This window comes from Homo sapiens, chromosome 6 (assembly GCF_000001405.40).
Source record: "Homo sapiens chromosome 6, GRCh38.p14 Primary Assembly".
Classification (NCBI taxonomy): Eukaryota; Metazoa; Chordata; class Mammalia; order Primates; family Hominidae; genus Homo; species Homo sapiens.
Window position 1 is genome coordinate 147,938,651 of NC_000006.12, and position 17,240 is coordinate 147,955,890.

The window sequence follows — 17,240 nt, forward strand, 5'->3', positions numbered from 1 at the left end:
AGGATGGCACTGTATTCCAACTGGTGAGTCAGAATATCTTTCTTTTAGTATTAGAGTTGAGAAATAAAGTGCTAGCGTATCAGAGTAGGTTGCTTGAACTGGGTGAATAGCAGATGGGGCCAGTGGAGGAGGAGTGGTCGACTTGGTATGTACTGTTTTTACTCTCAGCACTTTGGATACCAAATGCATGGGTTTTTTCTTCACACCAACCAATTCTCCAACTATCTGGACTCCGACTGGTTGTCTTATAATTCAGTTCTCACATGAACCCCACAAGTTGAGGGCTGAGTTCCACAAGACTGCCCTCACTGTGGATGCCAGTCACTAGGATCAAGTAACTAGGGCACCCACACTCTCTGACTTATATGCAAAGTCTGGGGTTCCCACAACCCCCTCCTAAGTTTTGATGACTTGCTAGAATCACTCACAGATCTCAGGTAGACACTTTACTTACCATTACCAGTTTATCATAAAGGATACAACTCAGAAGCAGCCAATTGGAAGAGATGCCCAGGGCATGTGGCAAAGGTCAAGAAGCTTCCCTGGGCTCTCTGAGCCCCTACCCATCACCTCCATGTGTTCACTGGCCCTGAAGGTCTCTGAACCCCATTGTTGAGGGGTTTTGTGGAGGTTTTGTTATGTAGGAATGATTGATTAAATCATTGGCCACTGATGACTCAGTCTCTAGCCCCCTCCCCTCCCTGGAGGTTGAGGGTGGGTGTGGAAGGGAAGGTTGGGTAAAACTTCCAACCCTTTAATCATGCCTTGGTCTTTCTGGCAGCCAGCACTCATCCTCACTTTATCTAGGGACCAACCAAGAGTTGCGTCTTTAAAACAAAAGATATTCCTATCACCCAAGAAATTCCAAGGCATTAGGAAGCTGTATGCCAGAAACCTAGGGACAAAGACAAAATATGTATTTATCACACCTGCCGTGGAGATGCCTAACAGTGCAATCTGACCTTCAGAGAGAGAAGACATGTAAGAGATGTAGAGGAGAAATAGTAGCAAGAGACTTCAGGACTCAACACAGGAAGAGAAAGAGACCAAGCAATCGGTAGTTCCATTTTCCAATGGCTTCCCAGACAACAAAGTGGTTCCCACCTTTCCAGAGGCACAGTTGTTCAACTTTGCCTCAGGTTCTATGAGATACCCCAGCATTTTTTTTTTTTTAATTTTTTAGCCTTGCCTTGTTTCAAATGAAGTTCTATTATTACCGAAAGTATCTGGACCAAGACATATTTCTATAGGGGTAAGAATATGATGTTATGGGATCATCTGGGAGGGAACTAGCTCAGTTTAGAACATGGAAGGATTTCCTAGCGAAGTACTATCGGAGCTGTATTCTAAAGGAGAATAGAAATCAGCCAGCAGGTGTCTTAGGCAAAGAGAACAGCACCTGCAAAGCCCAGAGGTTAGATAGTATGACCCACTTTGGGAGCTACGAAAGATTTTCTGTGGGTAAAGTATATAGCTAGGAGCAGCATATATGTTTGTGGGAGGAGAATATCAGTGTCAAGAGATGACTCTCCCAGGTCATTGGCAGAATTCATTTTTTTTTTTTTTTTTTGCAACAGTAGGAATTATGGCAGCTTGCTTCTTCAAAGCCAACAGCTGAGAGGGAAAGAGAGACAGAGCCAGCAGGATGGGATTTTATATAACATAATGTAGTTTAGGGGGTGGAATCACCTTTTCCATATTCTACTAGTTAGAAGCAAATCACACACACGGGGCATGAGCACCAGGAGTTGAAGCCACCTTAAAGCGTGTTCATCACAGCGCCCTGCTGTATGCTTTTACTTAGTCCACTTGTGAATGAAAAGGTGGGCTGCATTGCAGCTTTTCTGGCACAATCCACTATTCTATCATGAAGGAACTTTAATCTTGGGAAAATTTTATGACCTGAAAAGTCTACTAGGAAATATTTCTGCAGTGTCAGCAAGTATCATGTATTCTGCTTTACCACAAAAACTGTATCTGCTGCATCATCTTGTGGTCAAAGGCAAATTATGGTTCAAAAGTGTCTGGCAGGCCAGGCACAGCGGCTCACACCTAGAATCCCAGTACTTTGGGAGGCCAAGGCAGGTGGATCACTTGAGGTCAGGAGTTAAGACCAGCCTGGCCAATATGGTGAAACCCCGTCTCTACTAAAAATACAAAAATTAGCCGGGCATGATGGTGCATGCCTGTAGTCCCAGCTACTTGGGAGGCTGAGGCAGGAGAATCACTTGAACTCCGGAGGCGGAGATTGCAGTGAGCCGAGATTGCGCCATTGCACTTTAGCCTGTGCAACAGAGTGAGACTTCATCTCCAAAAAAAAAAGATGTATGGTTAATTCAATTATGCCATAACATGTTTTCAGGGTTCCTGAAAACAGATGCTCAGTCAACTACTCTAACATCTTTCTTGAATGTTTACTGATTGAAACATCTTAAAGACTTTTTTCTTCAAGTTACTAGTATGTATAGGATTATCCTCTTCTTTATACTGTATCTGTGTTGTCTATTTTCAATACACAATATTAGAGGCAATACCTACCTGTGTTTAGTGTGTTCTCTATGATGCAGCACGCCATCAGGGAGTGTAGGTCTCTAATGCATGCCATCTGGTGATTCAGGGCCATGTGTGTGAATAAACAGTGACTCTGCTGATTACCTACTCGGTATGTGCATTTAATTAAGTGCACAAATTCCTACAGGCATGTGGTTAAAGGGACTTTGGCAGATTTCCCCTCTGGAGGGCTTGGCTGTATGAAGCTGGAACCCTCCCTGGCACTGGAATTCCAAACGTGCCTGCATTTGTAACAGTAAAGAGTGGTTTAACATCATGGAGGCTTTCAACTGCTTACATTTCAGTTTATAGCCGAAGCACTGTAATAACTCACACTGAAATAGAATATGTTTTTTTTAGGGGTACCGTATCTGTTTACTTCATGCAAAATTAACATTTATAAACAAAAAATGTGAATACCACAACATAACAGTATCAAAACAACCTGTGTGTGAGGTTTGATCCTTTCAGCAGTTGTTCTTCAGATATATTGCTTTGTATTACAGAGCAACTCAATGAGAATGGTATTTTAAAACAGAAACCTACATAAACAAAATACACATTTTTTTCTAAAATATAGTGACAAAATCATAGTACTTTGGAAGTTAATTTAGAATATTTCAAACTAAAATTGTGTGTGTGTGTGAAGTTGGTTTGTTTGTTTGTTTGTTTGTTTTGCTTTGTTTTGTTTGAGATGGAGTCTTGCTCTGTCACCCAGGTTGGAGTGCAGTGGTGCAATCTCGGCTCACTGCAACCTCTGCTTCCCTGATTCAAGCGATTCTCCTGCCTCAGCCTCCTGAATAGCTGGGATTACAGGCGCCTGCCACCACGCCTGGCTAATTTTTGTATTTTTAGTAGAGACAGGGTTTCACCATGTTGGTTGGTCAGGGCTGGTCTCAAACTCCTGACCTCATGATCCACCCGCCTCGGCCTCCCAAAGTGCTGGGATTACAGGCGTGAGCCACTGCGCCTGGCTGTGTGAAGCTTTTTAAATGGGCACATTTACTAATAGATGGTATTGAATTCCATTTGAGGCAGTGCAGTGGGAAGGGCACAGAAATGAGAACCAGAAAGAAATCACCTCCAGATCTGGCACTCCCAAGCTTTCAGATTTGCGGAGAATTAGCATTTCCTGGGTCTCAGCTTAGCTCTAACAATTGGACTCCCTGAAAAGATGCAAAATAAAAGCAAATATAAGTAAGATGTGATCAAATGTCCTATTCGACTTGAACTTTAGACATTAGAACATCTGTGTGTCTAAATGCTTTGCTTAACTTCTCAGTAACCTTTTCACAATCAGCAAAGAATAGAAGGGCATTCTTCGCTGTGTGGGGAAGCCCTTCAAGCTGTGAACTACTGAAGAGGTCAGAGTGGTGGCTGTGGAAGCCCAGTGTCTCCTACAATATGCAGATACTGATCTGTTCATCCTTGGCTAAGAGGCTCCTGTGGAAAAGCTGCAGCTCCAGCTGTAGACCCCTAAGGGGCTTGCCAAGAGAATCCGCAATTAGACAGAAGAATGAAGAGATGGTGAATAATTTCTCTTTCTTTCTGATTACAATCTAAATACTGGGAATAGCACAACAGGAAAAATGTATGTAATGCTTATATTGTTCCCAATGCTTCTTTTTTTTTTTTTTTTTCTGAGATGGAGTTTTGCTCTGTCGCCCAGGCTTGAGTGCAGTGGCACAATCTTGGCTCACTGCCGCTGCCACAAGTGATTCTCCTGCCTCAGGCTCCCAAGTAGCTGGGATTACAGGTGCACGCCACCATGCCTGGCTAATTTTTTTTTATTTTATTTTTAGTAGAGATGGAGTTTTGCTATATTGGCCAGGCTGGTCTTGAACTCCTGACCTCAGGTGATTCACCCGCCTCGGCCTCCCAAAGTGCTGGGATTACAGGTGTGAGCCACCACTCCTGGCCCATTCTATTGCTTCATCTTGCCTGAGAGTATGAATCCCAGAACAGATACCCATGTTTTATAGACAGATCAGGAGATGAGAAATACTGTATGTGCACGAACATCATTTTATCTGTGTTTTTAGATGTCATCTTTGAATGCCAAATGTTGTTCCTTGGAAAGTTGGTTGTTTTTTTCCCCCTCAACTACTGTATCTTTCCTGCTCATTACAAGGAAAATAGAAAATACAGTGTCTGCATTTGCTGCTCTAAGCTTCAACCTTGCACAACTCATTTCTTCTCCCATGAAAGCAGACTCCCACCCCAATCTGCTTCTTGAAAGTCCCCCAATCCCCAAAACCCACGGCATCCTTCCATCCTCCTCCTCCTCCTTTGCTCTGCGTATTTCATTCTGAGGGCTCCTCCTCCTCCTCCTCCTAGCGAACCTCCTCCCTAGGCTCCCAGAAAGCTGCAGCCCCACCTGGCTGGTCCCCTGCCTCTCTCACTCACCTCTGCAAACTTCAATAGTTTGGGATCCTCCTTCTGCTCCTCTCCCTAACTCCTCTCCTCAAATGTATCATATTCATAAGGATCTCTCCTGTTCTCTGCTATATTCTTATCCTTCATAATGTCAACCAGCCTCCTGGGACTACAGCCTTTTTTCAGAGGACTCAGAAATCTCACTCCTGCCCTCTCACCTGCACCCCAACCAAACCTCCTTTCCAGTCCCCTGAATTTACAGCTGGTGCCTAAAATTCTGCATGTGTAAAAACTGAACTCATCTCAGTGCACATAATTCTCCTGGCCCCTTTTCCTGGCTCTCTGATTGCTGGGAGGCTGTGAGAATGTGCTGACTCCTGATGGACCAAGGGCACCAGGGCTGCCCTTTGGGATCATCACCCAAGCCCAGATCCACATGGGGATACCAAGGAAGCTACTTCTGGAGAAGGTAAAGGACTCCCCAGTGGCTTTGCCAGATCTTCCATAGACTGTGATTGAGGCAGCTTCCATCCAATTTTCCCTCCCCCTCTCTCACTCTGTCTCTCTCAGCTTCCTTACTATACCCATTCACACACATACATCTCCTCCCCTAAGAAAACCCTTGCATGTTTAATCCTCTCTTAGCATCTGTATTAGTCCTTTTTCATGCTGCTGATACATACCTGAGACTGGGCAATTTGCAAAAGAAAGAGGTTTAATGGCCTCCCACATGGCCGGGGAGGCCTCACAATCATGGCGAAGGAAAGGAGGAGCAAGTCACCTCTTACACGGATGGCAGCAGGCAAAGAAAGAGAGCTTGTGCAGGGAAACTCCTGTTTTTAATACCATCAGATCTCATGACACTTATTCACTATCATGAGAACAGCATGGGAAAGACCCACCCCCGTGATTCAATTACCTCCCACCGGTTTCCTCCCCTAACACATGGGAATTCAAGATGAGATTTAGGTGGGGACACAGCCAAACCATATTAGCATCTGATTCTCAGAGGGCCCAAATGAATACAAATTCCCATCCTGAAAAACTATTGACTATCCTAGCAAAGATTCTTAGAGATAACTCCTTCTTTCCTGTCCACAAATCTCTATTCATTTCCAAGGGCTGCTCTAACAAAGTACCACCAACTGTTGTCGAAATTTCTTCAACAACAGAAATTTATTGTCTCATAGTTCTGCAGGCTGGAAGTCCACGATTAAGGTGTCAGCAGGGTTGACTCCTTCTGAGCACTCTGAGGAAGAATCTGTTCATGCCTCTTCCTTGCTTCTGGTGACAGCCAGCAGGCCTTGGCATTCCTTGGTTTGTTGATCCATTGTTCCAGCCTCTGCCTCCATCTTCACATAGATTTCTCCCTTCATGTGTCTTATACATCCTAAGACATATTCCGCAACTGAGATATAGTCCCCATCATTGCCTGCCAATTGCATCTAAACTCCATAGTGGTCCACTGGAAGCCTTTAGAGATTCAGTTCCAATCTCTCTTCCTGTCCAAATGTCCCACAGCTCCAACTCTCCAGTCCTGCCTGCCTATTCTCCATTTCTAGAATGTTCCCTGAACTTTCCCACCTCTTTGCCCTTTATCCCCCGACTATTTCATCCTCGTGATCCCTCTCCTCTCCCCGTGGCTCTGTCCATCAGACCCCAATCCATCTTCCACACATGCCAAGTGCTGCCTTGCTCAAGATATCCACAGCCAGAACTGACCTCTATCTTCTTGGGATTTCTACAGTACTATCATTTTACCACATGCTGCCTTATATTTTATTATTTGTGTATGCTTTACCTCCAAATTGTACATTTCTTGAAGAACAGAACAATATATTTTCAGATTTTTAACCCCCAAACGTTATTTATCCGTGTATAAATACATGTCAGATGCTCATTTAAAATTTTGGCCAAGTAATAGAAAATAAAATACTATTTCTTAAGGATGGTGAATTCATTGGAGGTGATGTCAGGGATATAGTAGAAAATCCTTCAGAAAAGTAGAAAAACTTCCTAGAGGGTGATGAATAAAAGTGACGCTATTGGAGAGGGATGTATATGAGGTGGATGTTGTGGATGTGAAGGGAGGTGGTGACTGAACAATGGTGGCAGAGTAAACAGTGGCAGGAACGTTAGCCCCACCTTCCTCCTGGCTCTGTGTTGGAGGAAGCGAGCAAATATGTGCCAATCTATCATGTCCCCTCATATAAATGTGACTGTGTTTCTAGAGTTCCTACCTTGTGCCAGGCACTAGGGTTATGCAAAAAAGAGAGCAAGACGTGGTCACAGCTGTTGTTGTAGCTTGTGTATGTGAAGAAATGCATTTTGGTCTCTTCATGGCCAGCTTATTACTGGGAGGTGAGAACAGGAAGAGGTCAGCCGAGCATTCAAGGACCACTAAGCCATGGCCCTAGGCTGCTTTTTCAGCTTTTCTTCCCACAACTTTCTTATAAAAGACTCCTAATTTAAAATTAGCTACCAACTGGACTGTGTGTAGATTATTTGGCAGATCTCACTTTGCCTATACTCATATCATATACAACCTGATATGTCACACCCTTCTCTCCCCCAACCCTTGAGTATGTTCCAAGTTTTCTCCATGAATCCTTTCTGGCCACCCTAACACCAGTCAGCACAATTTAATTTGTACCTCTCTTTTGACCACTGTATCCCTCTACCATCTTGATGTGTGGGTAGGCATCCTTTTTCTCCTAGACTGTGAGCTACTTAGGGACATGAGTGTTGTTTTTGTAAGTATCTGATTTTCATACAATGCCTGAGATAATCTTTTAAACACAGTAGGCATTCAATAAACATCTCTGGAATAAATTAATGAATGGAGCATCTAAGAACTTTTTCATGGAGCAGTAGAGGTGACTTTTGCCTGGAAACCCTTTCCTCATTTTGTTTCCTAGTCACTTCCAGCTGTGTTTCATGTTCTATAATATCTTTATGGATTCCTTCTTGATCTTCACAAGACTTAAGTAAAAGAACAGACTAGTTTGCATTTTTAATTTAAGAATACTGCAATTATAAGTAATTATTTAGGTACTGGAGACTGCAACTGCAATGAATTTTAAATACAATTTAATTTCTAGTGCACAGTTTCTGCGCTATTTTTTCTTCTGTGTTTCATGGTCTGTAGCTGAGGTAACAGAGCCACAGTTATATTTTATAACTAATTAGCAACTGAAATTAGAAAGTTTTACTTTATAACTAATTAGCAACTGAAATTAGAAAGTTTATACCAATTATCAACATTCAACACTTTGAATAACTTGACAATTCTGAATATTTTGGATCACAGTTAACCTGAAATCATAAATACCTAATTTCATGATTACTTATCTGAGATATGAGGGCCAATAAGCTATTGTTATTGCTTCTTTCTAGAAAATTGAATGTTATTCCACAAACCACCTGGCCAAATCTAAGTTTGCAAACTGAGGATGGTTGAGGTCTCGTTTACGGGGCAAATCCTTCCTTTGGAAACCTGATGTCGATTCCTTGCAAATCACTTCATTCCTGATTCTCTGACCATCTTTTGCTCTGCATAGAATAAAAAACAAGAGTGTGTTTTTATTCCCTTGAGATTCCTGCTAACATTTTCCCCCTTTTGCTTGCCTGTGGTTGTATGTTACAGTAGTTTAGGATGGAATTAGCTCACAAGAGTTTTTGCAACAACATGGTGCTGTCTTGTCGAAGACTTGCTCACTCCTCACAAAACTCCCTTTAGGCCATAAATAAATTAAAACGTGATTTTCTACTAAAAAGTTAATGCTGTTCATTGAGAGAATACTGGCAATACAGGAGCTAGGATAATCTAAGAACGGCTGCAATTGCTTTTAAATGACAGCATCTTAATGTCTGTATTACTTTTTTCTTTCCCTAGGTAAGTGGTGTTTTATCTTCATTGCTTCAGGGAGTGTTGATTTGTCTGGTAAGTGTTCGTTTTGCTCTGGTACAAGGTACTACTTCAAAGATGCATGTGAATTGCCTGTGAGAACCAAAAGGCAAACCAGAAAGCATAAGCGAACTTTGGAAATGATATACACTGAGAAGGCTGGTGTGTGTTCAATCTTGTTCAGATTTTTTCTTTTTTCTGAGAGCTTACTTTGGAGTTACAACACACTTTGTTCTTCGGTCTGGAAAAGAGCCCAGGGGCTGATTAAGTGTTGATGAAAACTTGCCTTCCATAAATTCTTTTTATGTGAATTTTCTTGTCTTTTTTTCTTTTACTTCTTTCTGCCTTTATTGGAATTTTTTAAATGCCCTCCATTCAGATTTTGATAAAACCATAAAACTCCAGATAGAGGCATTTTGCTGAAGTTTTTGCTACTTACGTATACTGTGTTACTCCAGTATTTTGACTAAATTGTTACCCAGAACCTCCTTTGCTTTTCTGTTCTCCTCCTCCTGTGTCACGGTGGTTTCATCTGTACGGTATTAATGTTCCATTGGTACTCAGCACAATGTGGCGATTAAGTCCTACTTCTCAATAACATTTTTATTAAGCTACTGAAACAAATATGTCCCTAAATTTCTAGCTGTACTGGCACAGACATTATTTTACTGATTCCTTCTATAAATTAGTGACTGAGAGTTGCTGTTTTTCTAGATATGTTGTTGATACCGAGATTTTTTCCTTTAAAAGAATTACCAAGGAGCTATCCAGGATGAAGATGAATTGCAAGGAGAGAAAAAAAAAAAAACACGAATCATTTGATCTGTGAATTTCATAGTTGAATATACCCAACATCTGATGATTTTATTTTGTTTCTTATAATAGTGGACTCTCCCACTTTTTTGAGCTGACACAGAAAATGCTAGACCACATTGTCTTTTGAAAGGAATATAGGAAATTCCATTTCCCTGTGTGTAATATCTATAGACCTTTGTTATCTTACGTTATAGGTTCAGATTATTGGTTCCGTTAGAAGTAATTGTTCTTTAAAAGCATTGAATTTGGTTTAGCTATATTCTGCTGTCCTCTCCTTCACGTTCATCATCCCCCAAAATTTTGCCATTACATTAATAAATTTAGCTGAGATATATCTATATCTATATCTGTATAGTTAGGTGCTTAAAGAGGTTTTTATTTTAAATATACATTGGATCTATTTGCCTTTTGGGGGAAGGGTTCTTTTTTGGTTTTTTGTTTTGTTTTGTTTTGATTTTTGCTTTTGATCATCTGAGCTTAAAATGTTTTACTTGTGTTTATGTGTGTTTAATAGAACATGTTTGAAGAAGAGTCCCCAGAGGTCAACTAAACTGCTCTTGAAACGTTCAAAAGACGCAGACATTGCTTTAAATAACCCATATGGGATTTTGACCCCATGCTGTTTGCAGTCCTGCAATAGAATTTTTCTATTAAAGATTCTGGATTAAAAAGATCAGAAAACAGGAGACAGAAAGATGGAGGGGTGAAGAAGGTTAGATTTCAAACTTGCATAGGCTTTTCCCCAGACTTTGAAGCCTATCAGAGACCCACAGACGTGTGAACCAAGACATTATTTGAACAGCCTGCTTAACAACAGGCTGAATAGAGAACCACATTTTAAATTGACAAAGTTAGCCCGTGCTGAGAGTTTTTTATTATTTGCCTTTGACCTTATTGGACACTGTAAATGAAATATAGTGGTGCAGGTTTGAAAAGGCCAGGGGCTACTTAGTTATGCCACTCCTATGATGGGGGAAAAAACCCAAGAGTGAACAAATACAGTATATTTAACTCTATCCCCTTAACTCAGACCGCAGTAATATAAATGGTTCCAATCTGTAACCCCAGTTTGGTAAGAAATCTTTTGTTATTTTTAAATTCATTTCACTATATTCAGGTAAGCCACACAGAAAAGTCAAAGCTGGAGAGGGGGCTGAGTTTTATTTTCACTATAAAGAGAACTTGAAAACACTTTATTTGGGATAAAGTCTATTTTTAACTTAGGTTTCCTAATTTCTATCACGCTACTTCTAATGCTTCTACATGCTACTTACTGCCACTCTAAAATCAGATGCACTAGAGTTTCTGCCAGCAAACTTATCTAAAATATCGTTATTTTTCTTATTAAAAAATGTCAGTCTAGTTATCTGTAACATACAATGACCACACTGGATTTCCACTCCTGGGTAAAAGCAACTATATGATTATATAAGTGACAATTGTACAACGCTCATTTCTATATTGTTTGAGAACTCTTATGTGATATGGATAACTAAAAGATACTATACTTCCTCAACATTAAATTTTTAATTCTATTAGGTTCATTTTGTTATACTGCATTTCTTAAATAATTCAAGTATGATAAAATATATTGTAGAATTGGACTGAATTATGAAATGCATTGTAATTAATTTCTTTCCTCTAGTGACTTGTGTTAGTACTTTGCTGATAATAAGAAATATGATGTATCCTGAACCTCATGAAGATACAATGTTAGAGCAGAAGGTATAAGACATGTCAGGCACTTCAAAAAACAGATAGAAAACCAAGACGGAATATGAAGCCTGGAATAGAAAACAAGCATCTTAGGAGAAGGGAAGGCATTGAAATTTTCACGCAGTTAGCCGTGCAGAGAAAACACAGTTTATTTTTCTATGACTAATATGATCATTTTGCATTCTTACCATACCAGATGGGAGAAATTGGGATTTGCTTTTTAATATATCTCAATCTCTTCTCATTTAAACCATCTTCTGTCATCCTGAAAAAGTAGGCAAAGCTTAACTTCCTGTAGGTTCTGGCTGAAGAGTATCTGCTCTGCCTATCTGCAGCCCCCAGCCTCAGCATGGCCTCCTGATATTGGGCTGGTTCACATGTGTGCACTAGCTGGGACCCACTCAGCTGCATCAAGGTTTGTGCGTGGCATTCAGACTGCTGCTGTGAACTGTGGTTTTGCCTCTCCTGGCTTGATACGTCCTCCTGAGGTCTAGCTAACTCACATTTGGCCCCGACCTGGTATGACCACCCTCACCCTGTACCCAGGCTGTCAGGGACAGTTCATGCTGGGAAGTTCACAGCCAGCACAACCTTCTCCTCCTTCCTAATGGGCACAGTGGAAACCTGGGCCATCTCCCCAAAGCAGCAGGGTAAGCTCAGGTGTTGGGGACCTTAAGTTTCCTCACTGAATCCAAACGTTTGGACCTCCCACATTCTTCCAGGCACTCTTGGAAACAGTCTGTTCCCGAAAACCCAAACAGGAAGCAGGCTGAAATCCTCCTCACCCTCAATATTGCTCTCAGCCAAATTTCACAATCCTGCCTGCCAAGATTTTGAAATAGAGAGGGGAGGTCAAGTTTTCTTTCTCTGTTTCCCTCGCCTCCACATCTTTCTCTTCCCACCGTCGTTCTGGAAGGGTGTTCTGCTTTCTTTACCTCATATTCTAGACCTTTCTACTCAGGCCATGTAATAAATTCTAAGATCTAGTAGCCAGGCTTGGCTCTCCATGTGCTAAGTGAGAGCAAATAGGACTTAAAAAAATTTTTCTCCCTCAATTCTGACCTTTATGACTGTTAACCCAACTCCAGGATTCTATTTGGTCATCAAAGACCAAACTGACCCTTTCTTTTCACCTTTCCTTGTTTCTTGTTTCTTTTCTTTCTTTCTTTCTTTCTTTTTTTTTTTATGACGGAGTCTCGCTCTGTCGCCAGGCTGGAGTGCAGTGGCGCGATCTCGGCTCACTGCAAGCTCCGCCTTCCGGGTTCACGCCATTCTCCTGCCTCAGCCTCCCACGTAGCTGGGACTACAGGAGCCCACCAACACGCCCGGCTAATTTTTGTATTTTTAGTAGAGACTGGGTTTCACCGTGTTAGCCAGGATGGTTTCGATATCCTGGCCTCGTGATCCACCCGCCTTGGCCTCCCAAAGTGTCTTTTCTTTCATTTCTACCATCACAGCCCTAATGCCCTTTCTATACCAGACAGGTCAGTGCATTGGGCTCACAAATGAGCAACTCAAGTACACAGAAATGCAAACGAGAGAAGCACATCAAAATGTGTCTACCGCACTGCGTGTCCTTCAAGGAGATTGGTGTGGGTTCCAGGGGATTGTGTGTTTGATCAGCAAAAAAATAAAAATGATATTTATTTTATTTGGTGGCTTATGTCAGGGGCATAGAGAAAGGCTGGGGCTAGACTTAAGGGGAATTTGATTGATTGGCCAAAGGCTTCAGTCATATAGAGCCACAGTCCCAAAGTGATTTCGGCAAAGCAGTCATTCCGTAAGATGTTCTGACAGACGCAGAATAAATGTATTTGGGATTGCTACATACCATATGGCCCCTCTTAAGACTCTTAATGTGTATTAGCATAGTAATGTTTCAGATAATTCCTGCCACATCGGGATACATAGAACACCATTTAACGCAGGGGGGCCATATTCATGTAACACCTATTAACAATCGAGAAATCTTTCCCTTGAGAACTGCTGCTAGTGTAATGATGAAGCTAGAAATTGGTTTTGGTGAGAACCAACAGGAGGGAAGTAGAGCTTTAGGAAGTTCTTTCAGTTTTTATTCAGAGTAAGAGGGCTTACTCTGTCCAAGGCACGCTGATTAATCAGTCCAAAAAGATGAATGCCAAATCGGTGCTTGAGGACTCAGAATTTCCCAAAATTGCCATCTTTATGTGTAAGTATAGAATGTCAGCTATTTACAGTCAGTTTGCTATGCAGTACCAGTAAAATACTCTGCTTGTATTTGATATATCAAGATTATTAAAGAAATTACCAACCTTCCCCCAAAATAATTGTTTTTAGTGAACAGCTAATGTTATTTCCTTTGCTGGGTAGGCGTGATATATTAATGGTGATGGATATCAATTGTGTATCAATGGAGATGAATGAATGTCAACACTTTGAACATACTATCAAGGTATTCCAAAATATTTTTATGGTAATATTGCTGAAACTAAGCCTTTTTTGGTGATCTTTGTTTTTGTTTGTTTGTTTGTTTCGAGACAGAGTCTCGCTCTGTCACCCAGGCTGGAGTGCAGAGACGTGACCTCAGCTCACTGCAAGCACTGCCTCCCAGGTTCAAGTGATTCTCCTGCCTCAGCCTCCCTAGTAGCTGGGATTACAGGCATGCACCACCACACCCGCGAATTTTTTTTGTACTTTTTGTAGAGATGGGGTTTTGCCATGTTGGCCAGGCTAGTCTTGAACTCCTGACTTTCAAGTGATCCTCCCGCCTTGGCCTCCCAAACTGCTGGGATTACTGGCGTGAGCCACCGCACCCGGCCCTTTTTTGATGATCTTTGAAAGAACCTATATGAAATAAAACTTGGAGAGACCTACATTTCATTTCATAATGTATTATCTCCTTTTTTAATTGAAAATATTACAACTTTCTATGTTAATCATGATAAAATGCCTCAGAGGACTTTTTATATTTTATACAGCTTGACCAATTTTATGTTTTAATTTTTAATTTTTTCTCCTTCCTTCATATAGTATTCTTTTTTAATGTGCCTTTATCCTCACTGAATACCCTGACATATTCAAAACCTCCTACAGTTGATGTCAGTAATACTAAGCGTCAAGATCTCCAAATTCATCTAATTCCAGTTTACTTTGTCAATAATCCTTGTCCTCTTTTCAAAAGTGTGGCATATTTTGAAAAATAATCAGATATTTTTAAATCCGTGTAAAACAGGAGAGTCCACTGTAAATCTTTGCTTTACCAAAGGTGGTTTATTCAGCTACAATTTCTCTCATTTTGGTTTTTTTTTTTCTCTTTCTTCCTTTGGCCACTTCAGCCATTCGACTCTCAGAAATTCTGTCAGGAAAAATAAATGGATATGAAATCTGAAGATAAAGGTTTGTGGGGAAAGAATAAAAGGATCATGAAATGTCAGGGCTGAAAAATATCTTAGCATCCAGCCTAGTGTTCTATTTACACCATCCCTGTTTTGGCTCCCAATCTGATTCTCTTCCTATTGCATCAAACTGAGTTTTAAAGAAATTTGAAACTATGCATTTCAAGACTATTTGGTGATTATGTTAATCTCCAATTCTGCCTATTTTTGATTATGTTAAAATCAGCCAAAATATAGAACATAGAGTTATGCTTATGCCCAACATCATAATATGCCTTCAGTTATTAACATATGTTGTAGGTAAGCTTGTTATTATTTGAAATGTAAATATTTATATGTGTAATGTGTAAAAGTTTTCAAATATGGGTCATAACATATCCAATGGTTTATTTGTCTATGCCACTAATACATCTTTGGGCACCCAAGTTTAAGTGCAGTACATTTTGCTGGTTGATGTACCAAGGAATGACTTATAATTGTGATGAAATTTGAACTTCATATTGCAAAAGATAATCATCATTTGCTAGAAAAAATTAAAACCGTTTAAATTTTTATCATAGAAAGAGCTAAAAGAAATTCTAAGTATATTTTTATAGATGAGCCACTTTGGAAATTTCACAGATAAAACACCAGCTTGTTAACAGAGTTAAGCTACCAAAAAGACACTCCAGAATGGGCCGTAACATAACTTTTTACCAGTGTAACTTACACTGTGATTTAAAAGTGTGTATGTGGTCAAATATGTTTCCTTTGTTTTCACTGAAGTATTTTTATTCAGTAAATACAGTCATTATTTTATCACCTTCGTGTTTTAAGCTCGAATTGTATTGAATCACATTTAGTAAGTAAAATAATCTATACTCCTGCAATTCTGAAAGTGATTCAAATCCATTTTAGGATACCAGATTGAAAAACAGCAACTTAATGTTGAGATAACGTCATGGGGTGCACAGTGATATTTTGATCAGCAATGGACCACATATAGGATAGCGGTGGTCCCATCAGATTACAATGGAGCTGAAAATTTCTTATCTCCTAGTGACACGGTAGCCATTGGAACATTATAGCATACTTTATTTTTATAAATTTATTGTGGCCTAAGTGTAAGGTGTTTTTAAAACCTATGGGAGTGTACGCTAATGTCCTAGGCCTTCGCATTCACCCATCACTCACTGACTCAGCCAAAGTAACTTCCAGTCCTGCTAGCTCCATTCGTGGTAAGTGCCCTGTACATGTTTACCATTTTTAACCTCTTTTTTTTTTTTTTTGAGACAGAGTCTCGCTCTGTCGCCCAGGCTGGAGTGCAGTGGCGCGATCTCGGCTCACGGCAAGCTCCGCCTCCCGGGTTCACGCCATTCTCCTGCCTCAGCCTCCCGAGTAGCTGGGACTACAGGTGCCCGCCATCACGCCTGGCTAATTTTTTTTTTTTTTTTTTTTTTTTTTTTGGTGTTTTTAGTAGAGATGGGGTTTCACCGTGTTAGCCAGGATGGTCTCAATCTCCTGACCTCGTGATCCACCCGCCTCGGCCTCCCAAAGTGCTGGGATTACAGGTGTGAGCCACCAAGCCCGGCCCATTTTTAACCTTTTATACCACATTTTTAGTGTACCTTTTCTATATTTAGATACACAAATACTTACCATTGTGTTACAGTTGCCTACAGTATTCAGTATGGTAATATGCTATACAGCTTAATAGGCTAGGTGTGTTACGGCTAGGTCATACCATCTAGGTTCGTGTGAGTAATCTCTATGATGCTTGCATGACTAAATTGCCTAACAATGCAGTTCTTAGAACATGTCCCTATCATTAAGTGTTGTGATACTGTATTTGATACTATCTTCTTTTGTTTCTTTGAGTTGGAGTTTCACTCTTGTTGCCCAGGCTGGAGTACAATGATGTGCTCTTGGCCCACCACAACCTCTGCCTCTTCATTTCAAAGATATTCACAGTTTGGAGGGTTAGCTATGAGTTTTTCCATTTGTGGAGACAATTTTATGAAATTCTTGAATTATTTAATAGAACTATTGGTGGTAAATTCTATACCTTTGTATAACACCAACTAAACTGATAGGGACTGAAAAAAATATTGCACTGTTTGAATTCTATAATTCCTTATTTTTTATTATTCTTATTTTTATACTTTAAGTTTTAGGGTACATGTGCACAATGTGCAGGTTAGTTACACATGTATACATGTGCCATGCTGGTGTGCTGCACCCATTAACTCGTCATTTAGCATTAGGTATATCTCCTAATGCTATCCCTCCCCCCTCCCCCCACCCCACAACAGTCCCCAGAGTGTGATGTTCCCCTTCCTGTGTCCATGTGTTCTCATTGTTCAATTCCCATCTATGAGTGAGAACATGCGGTGTTTGGTTTTTTGTCGTTGCAATAGTTTACTGAGAATGATGATTTCCAATTTCATCCATGTCCCTACAAAGGACATGAACTCATCATTTTTTATGGCTGCATAGTATTCCATGGTGTATATGTGCCACAT

General features: G+C 40.6%; 1 protein-coding gene across 1 annotated transcript in view; it reads left to right on the forward strand.

Moving 5' to 3' along the window:
• The window catches only part of SAMD5 (sterile alpha motif domain containing 5), a 445,991-nt gene extending 429,961 nt beyond the window's left edge, over window positions 1-16,030 (forward strand). The window contains exon 2 of the mRNA XM_017010850.2: window positions 8,822-16,030. Within this exon, the coding sequence (XP_016866339.1) occupies window positions 8,822-8,932 (111 nt within the window). The 3' untranslated portion in view covers window positions 8,933-16,030. The remainder of the gene's footprint in view (window positions 1-8,821) is intronic.
• Window positions 16,031-17,240: the final 1,210 nt, after the last annotated feature.